Raw genomic sequence first — 18,826 nt, forward strand, 5'->3', positions numbered from 1 at the left:
GTTCTGGCTGGGACAATTAGGCAAGAGAAAGAAATAAAGGGTATTCAATTAGGAAAAGAGGAAGTCAAATTGTCTCTGTTTGCAGATGACATGATTGTATATTTAGAAAACTCCATTGTCTCAGCCCCAAATCTCCTTAGCTGGTAAGCAACTTCAGCAAAGTATCAGGATACAAAATCAATGTGCAAAAATCACAAGCATTCCCATACACCAATAACAGACAAACCATGAGTGAACCAAATCATGAGTGAACTTTCATTCACAATTGCTACAAAGAGAATAAAATATCTAGGAATCCAACTTAACAAGGGATGTGAAGGACCTATTCAAGGAGAACTACCAACCACTGCTCAAGTAAATAAGAGAGGACACAAACAAACAAATGGAAAAACATTCCATGATCATGGATAGAAAGAATCAATACAATGAAAATGGCCATATTGCCCAAAGTAATTTGTAGATTCAGTGCTATCCCCATCAAACTTCCATTGACTTTCTTCACAGAATTGGAAAAATACTACTTTAAATTTCATATGGAACCAAAAAAGAGCCCACATAGCCAAGACAATCCTAAGCAAAAAGAACAAAGCTGGAGGCATCATGCTACCTGACTTCAAACTATACTACAAGGCTACAGTAACCAAAACAGCACGGTACTGGTACCAAAACAGGTATATAGACCAATGGGACAGAACAGAGGGCTCAGAAATAATGCCACACATTTACAACCATCTGATCTTTGACAAATCTGACAAAAACAAGCAATGAGGAAATGATTCTCCGTTTAATAAATGGTGTTGGGAAAACTGGCTAGCCATATGCAGAAAGCTGAAACTGGATCCTTTCCTTACACCTGATACAAAAATTAACTCAAGATGGATTAAAGACTTAAACGTAAGACCTAAAACCATAAAAACCTTAGAAGAAAAGCTAGGCAATACCATTCAGGACATAGGCATGGGCAAAGACTTCGTAATTAAAACACCAAAAGCAATGGCAACAAAAGCCAAAATAGACAAATGGGATCTAATTAATCTAAAGAGCTTCTGCACAGCAAAAGAAACTATCATCAGAGTGAACAGGCAACCTACAGAATGGGAGAAAATTTTTGCAATCTATCCTTCTGAAAAAGGGCTAATATCCAGAATCTACAAAGAACTTAAACAGATTTACAAGAAAAAAACTTCATCAAAAAGTGAGCGAAAGATATGAGCAGACACTTCTCAAAAGAAGACATTTATGCAGCTCAACAAACATATGAAAAAAGCTCATCGTCACTGGTCATTAGAGAAGTGCAAATCAAAACCACAGTGAGATACCATCTCATGCCAGTTAGGATGGCAATCATTAAAATGTCAGGAAACAACAGATGCTGGAGAGGATGTGGAGAAATAGTGACGCTTTTCCACTGTTGGTGGAAGTGTAAACCATTGTGGAAGACAGTGTGGCAATTCCTCAAGGATCTCGAAGTAGAAATACCATTTGACCCAGTAATCCCATTACTGAGTATATATACCCAAAGGATTATAAATTATTCTAGTATAAAGCCACATGCACACGTATGTTTATTACGGCACTGTTCACAATAGCAAAGACTTGGAACCAACCCAGATGCCCATCAATGATAGACTGGATTAAGAAAATGTGCCACATATACACCATGGAATACTATGCAGCCAGTATACAGAAAAGGATGAGTTCATGTCCTTTGCAGGGACATGGATGAAGCTGGAAACCATCATTCTCAGCAAACTAACACAAGAACAGAAAACCAAACACCATATGTTCTCACTTATAAGTGGGAGTTGAACACATGGAAACAGGGAGGTGAACATCACACACTGGGGCCTGCTGGAGGTGGGAGGCTAGAGGAGGGATAGCATTAGGAGAAATACCTAATGTAGATGGCAGGTTGATGGGTGCAGCAAACCACCATGGCACATGTATACCTATGTAACAAACCTGTACGTTCTGCACATGTACCCCAGAAGTTAAAGTATAATTAAAAAAAAAATTTCAATTGGTAAAAATGTAAAAAAATAAATAAAAGAGTTATAAAACTATAATAATTTTGGAAGGAAAATAGAAAATCTTCTAGACCTTGGATTCTAGAAGATTTTTACCTATGGCATCAAAAGCCTATTTCATAAAATAAAAAATAAATGGATACATTAGACTTCACCAAAATTAAAGCTCTTGTGTTTCAAAAGACACCATTAAGAAAATGAAAAAACAAGTCACAGATTGGGGGAAAATATTTGTTAATTACATATCTGATAGAGGACTACTATCTAGAATATACAAAGAAATCTTAGAACTCAATGAGAAGATGATCCATTTTTTAATATGAGCAAAAGACATGAATAGGCATATCAGCCCAGCAGATGTACTTAATCACTAAAAAACATATGAAAAGATGCTCCATATCATTAGTCATTACAGAAAATGCAAATCAAAACCATTATGAGATACCAGTTCACAGAGAGAAAATAACAAATGTTGAGGAAGACATGGAGTAATGAGAACCTTCATACATTGCTGGTAGGGGTGTAAAATTGTATAGCCACTTTAGAAAACAGTTTGGCATCTTCTTAAAAAGTTAGCATAAATTTACCATATGGCCTATCAATTTTACTCCTAGATATTTACCCAAAAGAAATGAAAATGTGTCTACACAAAGATTTGCACTTGAATTTTCATAGCAGCGTTATCATAAATGCTAAAAATTGGAAACATCCCACATATTCATTAACTGATGAAAGGAGAAATAAAATATAGTAGCATTCTCATATAATAGAAGTTCAACAATAAAAGGAATGAAATATTGACATGTTACATGTGTGAACCTCAAAAACATGGTAAATGAAAGAAGCTAGATACAGAAGATCACATGTTGTGTGATTCCGTTTATATGAAGTATCTATAAAAGGCAAATGTAAGTAGATTAGTGATTGCCTGAGCCTGGGAGTAAAATCCAGGATTAAATGGCTGTGGAGGATCTTACTAGAGTAAGGAAAAATATTCTAAAACTGGATTATGGTAATGATTGTACAACTTGGTAAATGTATGAAAAATCATTGAATTATATGCTTAAAATGGATGAATTTTAATGTATGTAAATTATACCACAATAGTGAATAGCATGGGTAAGATTTCTGCCTTTGTGGAGCTTATAGATTAGTGATGAGATGCATAAGTAATAATTAAGCAAAATAATTAAAATAAATGACCGAAAAGGAAAGTCCAGTTAATTGGAAAGAAAACCAGAAGGAGGAAGTTGGCAACTATATTGGATGCTGCCAGGAGGTTGAGTGAGTGACAGCATAGAGATTCATGGTCACCTTAATGACCTCATTTGAACATTAGGCAAAGGGCAGATTGGATTGCAGTGAGATTTGAATGGCAGGATAGGAAGTGGAGGCAACAGTTAGGTAACTATTTGGAGAAGTTTCCCTGTAAAAGGGAGCAAAGGAAACGGGTAAAGAGAAGGCTATGAAACATGAATGTCTTGTCAAGGGAGGTACCACCCTGGATTTGGAAGATGGTACATCTTGTTTATAAATTGGTAAGAATGGTCCAGGAAAGAGATGTCACTTCATGACTCAGGAGATGAGGCCGACAGAAAAGGAGCAAAGTCCTTCAGGAATTGAGAGGAGTTGGATACAGAGTGCAAATGAGGGTTTGACCTTTGTAAAAGGCAAACATTTCTTCAACTTTAACAAGGAAAAGAATTCAAGGATATATGCAGATGCAGGTAGGTTTGGCTGTGGGAATGTTAGGAGTATCTTTTCTTGTTGGAATGTGAGGTTAGCTAAAAGGCAGGATGGAGTGGGTCAGAAAAGTGTGTGGAAAATTTGAGGACAGAAGATAGAAAGTATGCCCTGGGAGAACAGGAAAGAGCATTTCCTAGGAGAACATGTGGGATTGCCAAGCAGAACTGAGTGTTCCATTGGAAATTACTGATAAAAAAATAAGGTGAAGTCAATCAGTTCAATTGTATTTCGTCTACAGTTTTGTCCTTCTGGGGTTTCAGGCTCAGAGAAGGCACATGTTTGGGTCAACCAGAGTGAGTTTTGCTTAGCAAGTATAGTGGGTAGGGGCCTGGGAGACAAGATTTTGCTGAGGATATTTGCAGAGGAATAACTGTGATGCTGAGCCTTGAAATCTAAGCTGGGAGGATGCGGGCTTCAATGTACCTTTGGCTGTGAGGAAGGGCACTTAAACTAGTGTTCCGGTTGCACTTGATGGAACACAAAGTGCTTCAGAACAGCTGAAAAGGAAACCTATTATGTAGAGTTAGTTAACCCATGATACCAGTTTTGTTTGTCATCGTAAAAATTCAAGTTGCTCTTGGCGTAGCATGTATTATATGTCCTGTAATGATCCTTACAAATCCCTCTGGAATTTGAAGAACCCTGCTAAGGCCTTTGTCTGATATTTCTCCTGGCTGATAGTTTCATGTTTTTTAGTAAAGTATGTCAGAATAATGAGGTTCTCACTGAATTACCTTCACTCAGCTCTTGGTTGTCACAGATTTACTGTCATGAAGCATGCAAATGAATTAGGAAATGGGTAAAGAAATATTAAAATGCATTATAAGCACTGATACTTATTAATGCTAGGTTAAAATCGTACAGAACTATTCAGATTAATGGAATAGAGCGGAACGTTCAGAAACAGTCCCATTATATGTAAGGATATAGTATGTGATAAGGGTGACATTTCAGTATAGGGAAAGAGGCAGTACAGTAAATGATTCTGTAAGTAGCATTGAAGCAATTGGCTTACATCTTGGGAAAAATATAATTACATGTTTACCTTATATAATGTACAAAAATACGTCACAGAAGGAACTTTATAGTAAAAAAAAAATCTTTTTTATAAGGTTTAGACAAAATATGTAGAAATTTATGTCACTGCAGAGGAATTTTCTAACTATGAATCCAAGCCATAAAGAAAATCAGTAGTTTTGGTTAAATTAAACAGTTAAAATTTTATGTGCACAAAACACTGTAAATAACACTAAAAGTTAAAATACAAACAATAAAAGGTATTTCCAACAATATCACTAAAATATAGAGAATTCTTACAAATTATTTTTATAGACAGGGACTCCAGGAGGAAAGAAAAGATAGATGTATAAATGACCAAAAATTCGTGAAGAAATGATCTCTCATATTAAAGACATAATAATTAAAACATGAGATACCTTTTTTTTTTTAACCTAGCAGATTGGCAAAAATTTTATTTTCTTATGACAACTCATTTCGGGTGGAGGGGGCATTCTTATATATAATTACATATATATAATTATAATTTATATAATTATCTAAAATGTTATATACTTAACATTTTATATAAATTGATAGAACCATTTTGAAAAGCAGTTTAGAAGTATTCAATAAAAGCCTTAAAATTTTAAAGTCTACATTGACCCAGTTCCACTTCTACAAATATATTCTAAATGCGTAATCATGGATAAGTACAAATATTTATTACAAGAATGTTCATTAAAACATTATAAAAGAAAAAAATTTTAATAGCATAAATATCTCAAAACTGGCAATTGATAAAATAATTGTGATTACATGCAGTGTAATATGTTGTCATGAAACATGCAATAAAATAATGATGTGGAAAGACGATTATGATGTAATGTTAAATGAAAAAGACATTACGGAATAGAATGGATTGTGTATTTATTAAAAGCAGAATAATGTATATATGTAAGGGGATGAGAAGGATATAGATCAAATATATTAACTATCTTTCATAATGGGATTATGGGTGATTTTTCTTTGTGCTATTCTGTATCTACTACAGTGCATATATGTTTCCTTTTTTATAAGGAAAATGTTATTTTGTTATAAAGGAAACTTTGTGAGAAGCGTGTAATTGAAAGAACTGTGTATTGTCTTTTTATAGTCCCAGTCGGTACCTCCTTTTCCACCTGGTGAAGTACATCTTTGCTGTGGCTCACAGATTGTTCCTCCCATTCCCCTTGCCGCTTTTTGCCTATCGGTAAGTAGAGTGCTCCTTTTGTGTGACTTCTGAAAAAGCCAGCTCCACACACTTGTTCCTAATGTTCTCCCTTAGGGTTATAGGGTGTGTGAAGGGCTGGTCTCCAGATCTCCTAGTGTTATGACATTAGCATAGAGAAGAAGCAGAAATAGATTAGTGTTGGTTAAAAAAAAATATATTGGAACATTAAATCTTCCCAATTCCCAAAAGTGAATCTTCCCACTTCCCAAAAGTGAAGATGCAGTTCTTCACTTTCTCCAATTTAAAACCATCGAGTTTAATTTTGGAGAAATATCTTGCTAGGCACATATGTAAGGGGCAGTCAGGTTCCCCTGTGTTTCATGTCGCTCATTATTAAATCAACCTGATCATGCTATTGGGGAAAGGAGTCAGGCTAATTCAGACTTGGATTTGTGGTTGCCTTCTCTTCTTTCCCTGCTTCTTAGTTTACTTCTTCTCTTTGTGGGTTAAATATCTTTGACTTGGCTGGGAGTGGTGGCTCATGCCTATAATCCCAGTACTTTGGGAGGCCAAGGAGGGCAGATTGCTTGAGCCCAGGAGTTTGAGACCAGCCTGGGCAATATAGCGAAGCCCCATCTCTACAAAACATACCAAATTAGCTGGATGTGGTGGCATCTGCCTGTAGTCCCACCTACTGGGGTGGAGGTGGGGTGATGCAAGAGAATTGCTTGAGCTTGGGAGTTCAAGGCTTCCAGTGAGCTGAGATTGTGCCACTGCACTCCAGCCTAGGTGACTGCTACTGCGCACAGTGGTGCACACCTATAGTCCCAGCTACTTGGGAGGCTGAGGTGGGAGGATCACTTGAGTTCAGGAGTTTGAATCCAGCCTGGACAACATAGTGAGACCCTGTCTCTGGAACAAAAAAAAAAAAAAGAAAGAAAAGAAAAACCTACTGCCCTGAGGTAACTGTTGATGGGAGCTCCTTTCTCGTCCTAGGTTTTATATTGTCCTGATTTGAACCAAATAAAATAAAATCTTGAACTTACCATGTCACACCCTAGTGGTCTGGTTAAGGAGACTGTCACATCCATTGTGCCACAAACTGATCTTCATTTGGGTTTTCATCCATTCATTCAACAAATGTTTATTGAATGCCTACTATGTCTTAGATAATGTACTAGGTACTCAGAAGGTTACAACAAACACTCAAAAATCTTATGGTCAGAATGTTACAACAAAAACTCAAAAATCTTATGGTCTAACAGGGGTACCAGAAAAATAGACCACTAGAATGCAGGGTGATAACGATATTTATTGAGTGTTACACCTTTCAGACTATTCACTTTGTCTCCTTTAATACTCAGTTATCTATAAAGTAAGTAAGGAGAGTATGTGGAGTGAGTGGAAGAGGAGGCCACAGAGTAAGAGAAACTTACAAGAAGGCCAAAAAGTGATCAGGCATTTAAGTGGGAAATGAGAGTTTGGAATTCTAGATACCAAAGGGAATGGAGTGTTTTCAGGAGAGAATCGATGTTTTAAGAAGGGGAACATTGCTGTTCATTCACATGTATCTCAAGCCCCTAGAACAATGCCTGGTACACATTAGGCACTCTGTTAATATTGGTAGAATGAAGTCTTACAGAAAAGTCAAATAAGATAAAGGACCAAAAAATGTCTACAAATGACCATTGTGACCGTGGCTTCAGTGCCGTGAAAGGGATATAAGCCAGATTGCAGTGAGGCACTTTCATGGTTGTATATAAAATTGAGTTAGAGTTGGCTTATGTATGCCCATGACATGGCCCACTGAGGACACTAGAATAGAGACCTGAAGTGATCTGTTAGCATAGAATGAGGGCACAGAGAGTTAGAGGTTTGTAATGAGTGTTTTTATTAAGCTATGTTAGCCCAATAAATTATTTTTTTCTGCCGTTGAGGAATCTGAGGCTTTATATGTTGCTGGAGAAATTCCAGCCAGCTTCCTTTTTCATTTATTTATACTATGCATTAGAATGTTGTTTTTCAAGCCTTTAAACGGCTGTGGAACCCTGTGCTCACTGAAGTTTTACGTCAAGTCCTGCTGGGTAAATCCAATAAAAGAGCTGGTCTGGTTGCAGTGATGGGTGATACTCAACGCATGTACTCCCAAACCCTTGGCCCCCCAGGACTCTGTGGGGCCCCAGCAAATTCCTAGTGTTCCTCAGATGCTAGTTGAAAACCCACTGCTACTGGGCACAGTGGTGTACACCTGTAGTCCCAGCTACTTGGGAGGCTGAAGTGGGAGGATCACTTGAGCCTGGGAGTGTGAGTCCGGCCTGGACAACATAGTGAGACCCTGTCTGTGGAACAAAAACAAGGAAAGAAAAGAAAAAGTCACTGCCCTGAGGTAACTGATGATGGGAGCTCAAGTGGCACGTAAGGAGCCCTTCAATTTTCATTAGCAGTGAAGAGATGGCAGTAATGAAGATAGGTGGCCTTTTCCGTTTTGGGTTTTATATTGTCGTCCTGATTTGAACCGTAGATTTTAGCCTTCTCCTTGCTTTTGGATTTTTTTTTTTTTCCTCAAGGGCCCCAGCTTTCAGGGGTTACGTTGTATATTTTACACACCATTCAGCTTGCCCTGCTTCTGTAAAGGCAGCATATTTGAATATCTGAGGTTTAGATTAAATTGAATTTCACAGACTTGATTAAATACTGGAGTTTTTCTGTTTGCTTTGTTGTTTGTTGGTTTTATTTCATTTTAAGTTTAAGATCTGTTGTTTCTTTGGAGGAGAACAAAGTGTACCAGCAGTTACAGCAGCCGACTGGGTTGGCTTGAGAGGAGATGGACCAAAAAGCAGAGGTAGCCTCACAGGTCGAGGTGGTTATTTTCTTAAAAAAAAAAAATCAGTTCAGACTGCTCTACAGCGGTCTGTCTTCCTGCAGTTCTCATAGGCTAGCTTACATCTTGGGCAGAGAGATGCTTATCACATGTGCTATATGTATTTCTCTTTCCAGATGGGTAGCAAGAGTCTTTGAAATAAGCCCATTTGAGCCCTGGATAACAAGGGATAAAGTGGAGCGGGTGAGTACATGTGTGGAAAGCGTCTGCCTGGGCAGATGATGAGGCGTTAGACTTATTTTGCTTTGCCTGCTTGCTTGTTTCCCGGCCCTTGTCTGTTTGCTGTTCTTGCTGTCTGCAGTCAGCCCCTCTACTAGCGCTGAAGCTCATCCACCTGCCCTGCTCCAGGGGGCGGCTCCTCCCTACTTTCTGTCCGTCATTATCAGTGTTTCTTTCTCTGCTTGATCACTCCTGTCAACACACAAAATTGCCTAATAGCTCCCCTGCCAAAGCCTCTCTTCCTCCCATCACTCTTCCAGCTACTTTCCTGTTGTGTCCCTTCACATCCTAACTCCTCCTAACTTCCTCCTAACGTCCTGAAGAAACTGTTGACAGTTTCTTCCTTCTTTCTTTAACCTACTCCAGTCAGGCTTTTATTCCCATTTCTCCCCTAAAATTGCTCTTTTCAAGGTTATCCACAATCTCCAGTCTCCTTGCTGCCACATCCAATGGTCAGTTCTCAGACCTCATGTCATGTGCCTGTGCATTTGCTTCTAGGGAGGATGCAAAATAAAATAAAAATACTATACCAATACCACATCTACCTTGGAAGACCTATGGACCATATATTGGCAAGAAGTAGCCAAATTGTCCCCTGAATGCTGCCTGAAAGCTAAAGTGTAGAGAAGATGAGAAAGTAGTGCTTAGGGAACATGTGGAAGTGGGCAACTCACATACTTTCTTCAGACATGGTCTATGAAAGATCAGGCAGGATCGCTGGTTGTCAGACACTTCAGTTTATCTTACACTAAAGTGTCTCTTACGTTTATACTTGAGAAAGTGTTGATACAGTGGCCTGAGTAGGTTTTGGATTTGGTTTGCAGACTGGCTTACAGCCCTCTGGTAAAAGAATTGCAGACTTTCAGGTGGGTAGGATGAGGGATTGCTGCTGCTCTAGGTGCAAATGGATTCTATTTATGTGGTTTTGAATAATAATCTGGGATGTTTGCAAACTTTACAGTTCATTATCTTTCCCTATAAACAAGATGGGTTTGGTTTTCTAGCTCTACAGTGAGCATTAGTCAACCAGGTTGAGTACAGCTGGAGCAAAAAAAGTTACTTGTTTTTTTTTTTTTTTAATGGGCAAGGAACAAATGTTGTGTTATCTCCTAAATTCAAAGTTAAAACTGAGTCAGAACGCCCGTGCTCAGAAAACAGGGGCGTGAGAGGACTGAGGAATGGACCAGCTCTGCTTAAGCCCTGATTTTATTCCTAAACCCTCCTGTTCAGCCTCCCCTGGCAAGTGTGGTGACTTGTGCTTCCCTGCCCTAGATTTATTTCTGTTGAAATCTGTATATAGAATGGCTCATGTAGTGCCAACATCCTGTGCTCGCGGCTGCCACTGGGGACCTCGATCTGATACTTGGTGATCTCGCCCTCTTTTGTCTTAAGCCCTCTTTGTGTGTTCTGCTTTTATAGTGATTTGCATGAATCGAAAATTGCCACATATTCTTTGAAAGCAATTAAGTCTCAATAATAGGACTCATGCCAGCTTGAATGTTTAAGTGCCTGCTAGGATAGCACTTTGTTCTCAGCCAGTTTTCAGCATTGTCTGTGGTCCTTTGTTTATCCAAAGATGCACATCACAGACATGAAATTGCCTCACCTGCCTGGCTTAGAAGACCTTGGTATTCAGGCAACACCACTGGAACTCAAGGCCATTGAGGTGCTGCGGCGTCATCGCACTTACCGCTGGCTGTCTGCTGAAATTGAGGATGTGAAGCCGGCCAAGACCGTCAACATTTAGTGCCTCCTGAGCAGCTCTTGGTTTTGGCGTCTTTTGGGTCGGCCCATGTGGTTTGAGCACCCAGCCAGGCGGTCTCTTTAGAGGATCCTGTACACAGTTCCACTATTAAAACATTTCAGGTTGAATTCTGCAGTATTTTCTTCCTTGATTTACAAAATGAGAAATGTAGTCACTTAGAACTTGAGCATGATTTTTGTTAAACATATTTAATAATGATATATATACTATTTATTCTCTGAAATGCCAGAGAGTTTGAATTTTCCTATGACAAACCACTTCTAGCATACGTTCTAGAAGACAAGGACCCTTTTTAATGTCAAAGTATTGTAAAGACCCCAAGTGATATGTGATTGTTTTTTAATTTCCATTAAATGAGAGAGCATACAGTATCCCCTAACCTGAATGTGTTTACACTGAAGGTGTTTTTAAAATTTATTTTAATAATGTCCATATGCCTTTTAAAAATAGTAGTACATATATAGAAAAACATTGTCCATAGATTCTCAAACCCCTTGCAGTAATTCCACAGTCTTCTTGGATCTGAGCTATCTGAGGCCAGCCCGATGCCCTTAGTACCACATCTGGATTATTTCAGACACATAGGTGGAGATAGATTCTCTTCACATGCAAAGGAGATGCTTCAGCTTCTATGCCAGCAGTGCCAGCACTTAGGAATTATGACCTTCTAATGAAGTTCTTAAAATTGCAGCCAAGACCCAGATGAACATTTGGTTTAGTGTTGGCAAATCCCACCAGTACAGTGTGATTTAAAACTCCCACAATTTGTGGTGAAGCCAACATACCACCATCCTAGGTGACCCAGGGTTGGTCATTGTGTTTCACTGGACTTCAGCCTCCTGATCTATATTTGGGACAGGGATGTCAGTAAAAACGCTGTTTGATGAGGGAATGCCCGTCTCCTTACAGAGAGAAAGGTATATCAGTGTTGAAGGTAAGTTCTCCACCTGCCCTTTCTGCCTGCATCAGAATCTTTTTATCCCAAAACGGTCAACAGTGAGCTACTCCAAGTGTGGTCCATAGATCACCAGCATTGGGATCATCTTGGGGCTTGTTAGAAATGCAGAACCCGGGCTGGGCACAGTGGCTCACACCTGTAATCCCAACGCTTTTGAGTTGCTGTGGTGGGACGGTCGCTTGAGGCCAGGAGTTTGAGACCAGCCTAGGCAATATGGCAAGACCTTGTCTCTACAGAAAAATTTCAAAAAGTTAGTAGGGCATGGTGGCACGCACCTGTAGTCTCAGTTATTCGGGAGGCTAAGGTATGATGATTGCTTGAGCCTGGGAGTTCAAGGTTACAGTGAGCTATGATAGTGCCACTGCACTTCAGCTTGGACTGAAGATCCTGTCTCAGAAAAAAAAAAAAAAAAAGGCAGAATCCTAGGTTTTGTCCTGTCCCAGGCGTGTTGAATCAGAATCTGCATTTTAGCAAGGTCTCCAGGAGATTTGTATGCACATTACAGTATGAGAAGCACTGCCATACAGAAGAGCTGTATCAGAGTTCAGTGTGATCCCTGTTATTAATCCAGGTTGCTGACCCCACCCCAGACCTACTGAATCAGAGTCTCAGGAAGGAGGGCCCAGGAATTTTAGTTTTATTAAACATTCTAGTTTATTCTCCTGTACACTAGTATGTCAGAATCAGCGTACTAGGGAAAGGAACACAAACCCAACTTCACGTTTTTTCTTCAGATGCTGTCTGTTATTTTGGATGACACCCCTCCTGGCCATAAGCCAGCCATTAGGCACAGAGATGGGTGGATTTAATTTGAAAAGGAACTATAATTCTATAATGCACAGTGTCCTCTCTTAGAATATCTACACTTTCTTTCCTTTTTTTGATTCTTAAAAAAAAACTTATTGATACATAATAGATGTAAATATTGTCAGGGTATATGTGGTAATTTGATATATTCATATAATCAATCAGTGTAATTGGGATATCCATCACCTTAAACATTTACCTTTATGCTAGTAACATTCAAATTACTCTCTTCTAGCTATTTTGAAATGTACAGTAGATTAGTATTAACTCTAGTTACCCTACTGATCTATTGAACACCAGGTCTTACTTCTTCTGTCTTAACTGTAATTATCTTCATTTTCTAGCAATGCTATTTCTCATCTCTAACTTGTATCATCTCAGGATGCTGTATATTTCTTTTATTTTTTATTTTTTATTTTTTTATTTTTATTGATCATTCTTGGGTGTTTCTCGCAGAGGGGGATTTGGCAGGGTCATAGGACAATAGTGGAGGGAAGGTCAGCAGATAAACAAGTGAACAAAGGTCTCTGGTTTTCCTAGGCAGAGGACCCTGCGGCCTTCCGCAGTGTTTGTGTCCCTGGGTACTTGAGATTAGGGAGTGGTGATGACTCTTAACGAGCATGCTGCCTTCAAGCATCTGTTTAACAAAGTACATCTTGCACCGCCCTTAATCCATTTAACCCTGAGTGGACACAGCACATGTTTCAGAGAGCACAGGGTTGGGGGTAAGATCATAGATCAACAGCATCCCAAGGCAGAAGAATTTTTCTTAGTACAGAACAAAGTGAAGTCTCCCATGTCTACTTCTTTCTACACAGACACAGCAACAATGTGATTTCTCTATCTTTTCCCCACATTTCCCCCTTTTCTATTCCGCAAAACCACCATCGTCATCATGGCCCGTTCTCAATGAGCTGTTGGGTACACCTCCCAGACGTGGTGGTGGCCGGGCAGAGGGGCTCCTCACTTCCCAGTAGGGGCGGCCGGGCAGAAGCGCCCCCCACCTCCCGGACTGGTCGGCTGGCTGGGCGGAGGCGCCCCCCACACAAACACTGAAGCCGTAGCATTGACTAAGGAAACAATTTTACCATCCTAAGCTAGTGGATGTCACCCTCTCAGTGTATGGAGGTTGCATATGACAAGTAACTGGGAGCTGGGCATAAGATCTAGGACACTCATATCCAGGGTGATTCTCTTCATAAGGAGGCATGGGCTGAGTCTCCATTTATAGGGGCTGTCCCCATAGAGACTTCAAGCCACACCTTTCTAGGGATTCAGGTTGCACATTACCTGATTCTCACAGTTGATTTGAGCCTGCAAGACTGTAAACCCATCCCATTATCATGTTTTCTTCCTCATTTACCTACATTTATCATTAAACCTTTGTGATTCAGCAAATCTGTTTACCTTCTGATTCTACTTTAAATTCCGTTCATGTTCTTCCTTGGCCCTCCTGTGTATTTCCCACAGCTTTGCTAGGCCTTAAGATCATCTCACATTCTTCATCCTAATGACAAAAATAAGTTCTATGGGCTGGGCGCGGTGGCTCTTGCCTGTAATCCCAGCACTTTGGGAGGCTGATGGGGGTGGATCATGAGGTTAGGAGTTCAAGACCAGCCTGGCCAATATGGTGAAACCCCGTCTCTACTAAAAAATACAAAAAATCAGCCAGGCATGGTGGGGCCCACCTGTATATAGTCCCAGCCCAGGAGGGAGACTGAGGCAGGAGAATCACTGAAACCTGGGAGGCAGAGGTTGCAGTGAGCTGAGATCACACCACTGCACTCCAGCCTGGGAGACAGAGGGAGACTCTGTCTAAAATAAATAATAATAATAATAATAATAAAGGTACATGATGGAAGCATATATGGGAATATATGCAAAGATCTCTGAGAAGATAAAGAAAGGTCTCTGGAAGGATTAGCAAAAACTCCATAGAAAACGGATTTTTAAAGCTGCATCTTGATGTTAACCTGCTGAAATGTGTGTGTTGGACCGGGGTGAGGAGGAAGCAGTCATTCATGCTGTGGAAGAGAACAGCATGAGCAATTGCAGTGGGGCATGAATGAGTGGGTGGTTATGAGTGGGAGGCAGAGTCCGTGAGTTGGGAGGGGCACAAGCGAGTTTAACCTTTACCTTGGAGGTGATGCAGAGCAGTTGAGTTCCATACAGATTTGGCTTCGAATATGAGTTCCACTACTTCTTAGTTGTGAGATTGGACAAGTCACTTGACCTCTCTTTGTCAGCCTCAGTTTTCTTGTTTATAAAATGGGGGTGATAGTAATAACTACATGATGGGATAGTGATGAGGAATTAAATGAGATCATGCATGTAAAATGCTGAGCCCTGCACATAATAAGAACTAAGTAAATGTGAGCCATTATCATTTAAGTAGGGAATATCATGCCCATCTGAGTCCATACATTTGTTTCCTGACTTAATAAAATAGCTGCCGTTCCTGAGAAGGAGGGATTCCTATTTCCCAAATGCTGGAAACAGGGACTTATAGAAGGTAAATTGCCCCATTAGTAAGTAGCTGAATTGGTTTTCCAACCTGGATCTTTCTGGCTACAAAACTGATGCCTTGTTCCAGAAAGGATTTAAGGATGCTCAGGAGGAAGACATTCCCAGAGTTACACTCTAGAAGGTCTTGGAGTGAATGGGAGGTATAGTGGAATGGAGGGCGTATTTGAAGAAACCCTTCCTGTGAAGGAAAATCCAAGAGAATGAAGTAAGGAGAGACTTAAACTTGAAAAGATTCTTGTGAGAGAAGGAAAGGGGCTATTTACAATAGAGAAGAGACTAGAAGAAAGTCTGAACTCACCTCCCTGGAAGCAGAGGGTGGTGGGGTTTTTGAGGGCTGTGTGAGAGTGTAGAAGTACTGAGAACAAGAAGCCATGTGGATCCTGTGAGGGCCAGGATGGGGGGGGGGGTCATGGGTCATCTGTGTTTGCTGATTGGCTTTATCCAAAGGAAGAGTAAACATCTCATCCTTATGACAGGAAGTAGTCCTGCAGCTTGGAGCAAGGTGCCCACCAAAGTTAGGCACATCCCACAGCAAGTGGGAGAAAGGAGTGCTATCTCCTTTTGAGGTTACATTTCAGAGAATGGTTCCCCTGGGTCCTTGAGAAAGACAGTCCTGGGTTGTAAAACTGGCAAGAGGCTGAGGGAAGATGTATGTCTCAAAGGGGAACTCAAATAATTTATAATTTTAAGTTTTCTGATGCTCTAAGGGAAGTCAGGTGCCTAATATTGGTGATGTGGTTTGGATGTCCCCACCCAAATCTCATGTTGCAATGTAATCTCCAGTGTTGGAGTTGGGGCCTAGTGGGAGGCGATTAGATCATGGAGTAGATTTATCATGAATGATTTAGTACCATTCTCTTGGTACAATCCTCAAGATAGTGAGTTCTTACAAGATCTGGTCATTTAAAAGTGTGAGGCAACTCTCCTCACCCCTTGTTCCTACTCCTACCATGTGAGGTGCTTGCTCCCTTTTCACCTACTGCCATGACTGGAAGCTTCCTGAAGCCTCCCCAGAAGCAGATGCCTATGTGACGCTTCCTGTACAGCCTGCAGAACCATGAGCCAATTAAACCTCTTTTCTTTATACATTACCTAGACTCAGATATTTCTTTATAGCAATACAAGAATGGCCTAATCGTGTTAGGAAGAAGCCTGTCTGAAGTGCAGTCAGGCTGAGGGGAGCATGAAGGCCATCTTGATGGGGGAAATCTTTTAGTACCCTAATGCGAGCAGATGATGATGTTGTTGGCAGAGAGGGAGGGTATAACTTGTGGTGCCTAGCCCTAGAGGGAATGGAAGGGCCAGAATCCAGAGCATAGGTGGGATTGTGTGGGCTGACAAGTAATAGTATATGATAGCATAGTATATGATAGCAGTAGTATACGATAGCATGTGTGTGAGTCCATTTTGTATTGCCATAAAGGAGTACCTGAAGCTGGGTAATTAATAAAGAAAAGGGGTTTATTTGGCTCACTGTTCTGTAGGCTGTACAAGCATGGCACTAACATCTGCTTGGCATGAGCCACCACACCCGGCCAGAATTTTATTTTTAGTGACTAGGCTTTCCTTTAAAACCTCTGTACTAGGCCGGGTGCAGTGGCTCGCGCCTGTAATCCCAGCACTTTGGGAGGCTGAGGTGGGAGGATCACTTGAGCCCAGGAGTTTGAGACCAGCCTGGGCAACAGAGTGAAACCCCATCTCTTTAAAAAAATAAAGCACTTGAAGCAGAACTTTTTATCTGTCATAATCACTGCTATGTCCACAGCACCTAAAACAGTCCCAGACATCTGTTGAATAAATGAATGAATGAGGTGGGAAGTCTTTCTTTACACTTAGATGAAAACTCCATCGGACCCCAAATTGTTCTGGTCTTGTTCAGGTAATAATTTTAATTCTATAATAAAATCTCAAGTTATAATAGGCTCAATTTGATAATTAGGATGCCCAGTGTTGTGTAATAATTAAAGCGTTAAATTTCCTCTCTGCCCCACAGCTGGGATCCAAGAAGACCCTGTGGCTGGCTACTCTTCTGTATTTTCATTTATCTCCACCCCCAGTTTACCAGCAGTGGTTATCCTCTCTCCAAGACTGGGCCAGGGGTGAGAAGGGCAGTCTTACCAGGCAAGGGTCTTTGCTGACAGATGTCTGGGCCTTCTTGACAGCAGGTGTTTAAAGCTGAATCTGGTTCTACTTTCAGGAGAGTGATGGTTTGAGATGGTAACTGAAGTTGTAGAAGTAGATGTTGAGGATGAAGTATCATATTAATAAAACATTGCCCATTAACACCTTAGCACAAATTAAAACTAGCTATACCTCACTGATAAGGACCTGAATGGCTAAATAATGATGAATGATTTATGGATGTAGCGGGGAACTGGGTGGAAGCAGTAGTAAGAAATTTGAATTAAGGAATCGTAAGGGAATCGAGATTATCTAGTTTCCCCTCGACATTTTATAACTGAATAAACAATAAAAAACAAGAGAAGTGACAGCTTTATAGCATCTGATTGGGGAAAAACACATCTTTTCTGGGGCTAGACAGTCCATAAATAGGACTTGGAAATGGAAGTGTAGGGGGAGATCCCATTGTACTTCAGTGGAAAACTATGCATTGTCTGGAATCTAGACTCTGGACAAAGACCCTTCCTTCCTGGCTGTTTGATTTTGATTCTATGGGAGCTATCTTGCAACTCTGTAAGCTGTAGGTAACTGATAGCAGAGCAAAATAATTCTTGTCTATAGACGTGTACATTGTGTCTTAGCGTAGATTCACCCGACCTCCTTCCCCAGTTTTGCTTCTATTAGCACATTTATTTCAGTAATTTTGATCTTTGGATTCTCCTTGGACATTCCTCACTGAAAAATGAAATAAAATTTTTGGCATGTGCTCTTCTTTTGCATCTGTTTGAGAGCTGCAATTTTTACCTTCGTTTCAAAATTATCCTTTAACCAAAGGGACGGTGGTGAACTAGGCAGGCGGAGCTGCCCACTCCAGGTGGTTGTTACCAGGGGAGGGCGCTGGCCAGTGTTGCCAGATCTCCACTTTTTCAAGGGAAGCTGAAAAATCTCATTTTTGTCAATATGTGAAACTTCTTTATGTTTCAATATTGGCAACTAATTGAAAAAAAAAAAAAAAGTGTGCCTAAGAAAACTCACCTGTGGTGGGATCTGTTCCATTGGCCACCTTGTTGGGTCAGGGAAACAGGACATCTGGATCTAAGAAGTGCTGTATGCTGACCTGAAGTGGACCAAGTACTCCTCGTGTATTTTCTCATTCTCACCACAGCCTTGTGAGGTAGATATTGTCATGCCATTTTACAGGACAGCCACACATATGCCAAGTGCCAGAGAGTAAATGGCAACAGCAGGACCAGACCCAGATTTACTGTCCAGTGCAGTTTTGCTGAGAGCGGTGAGAAGTGGAGGAGGCATCTAAAGGGCTTGCTTTACAATGTTGCCTGGAGCCAGTCCACATCTGAGCCATGGGAGGTCACAAGAAATGTGAGTTGGGAGATCCTTTAACGGAGTGGGATGGGTGGATTTACAAAGAAGCTTCCATAACCCGCCACGTTCTCCAAGTAACCTTGGGTGTGAGCTCCATTTGGCTTTTTTTTTTTCAAAGCAGGCTTTTTAAAGGCAAAATGGGGAACAAGGAGTGAGCTGATACAAAGTTGTTTGTCAGGAATTC

General features: G+C 40.5%; 1 protein-coding gene across 1 annotated transcript in view; it reads left to right on the forward strand.

Moving 5' to 3' along the window:
- NDUFA9 (NADH:ubiquinone oxidoreductase subunit A9) overlaps window positions 1–18,038 on the forward strand; it is a 45,204-nt gene extending 27,166 nt beyond the window's left edge. The window contains exons 9-11 of the mRNA NM_005002.5: window positions 5,926–6,021; window positions 8,980–9,046; window positions 10,659–18,038. Of these exons, the coding sequence (NP_004993.1) occupies window positions 5,926–6,021; window positions 8,980–9,046; window positions 10,659–10,829 (334 nt within the window). The 3' untranslated portion in view covers window positions 10,830–18,038. The remainder of the gene's footprint in view (window positions 1–5,925; window positions 6,022–8,979; window positions 9,047–10,658) is intronic.
- Window positions 18,039–18,826: the final 788 nt, after the last annotated feature.

Source organism: Homo sapiens, chromosome 12, assembly GCF_000001405.40.
Source record: "Homo sapiens chromosome 12, GRCh38.p14 Primary Assembly".
Lineage (NCBI taxonomy): Eukaryota > Metazoa > Chordata > Mammalia > Primates > Hominidae > Homo > Homo sapiens.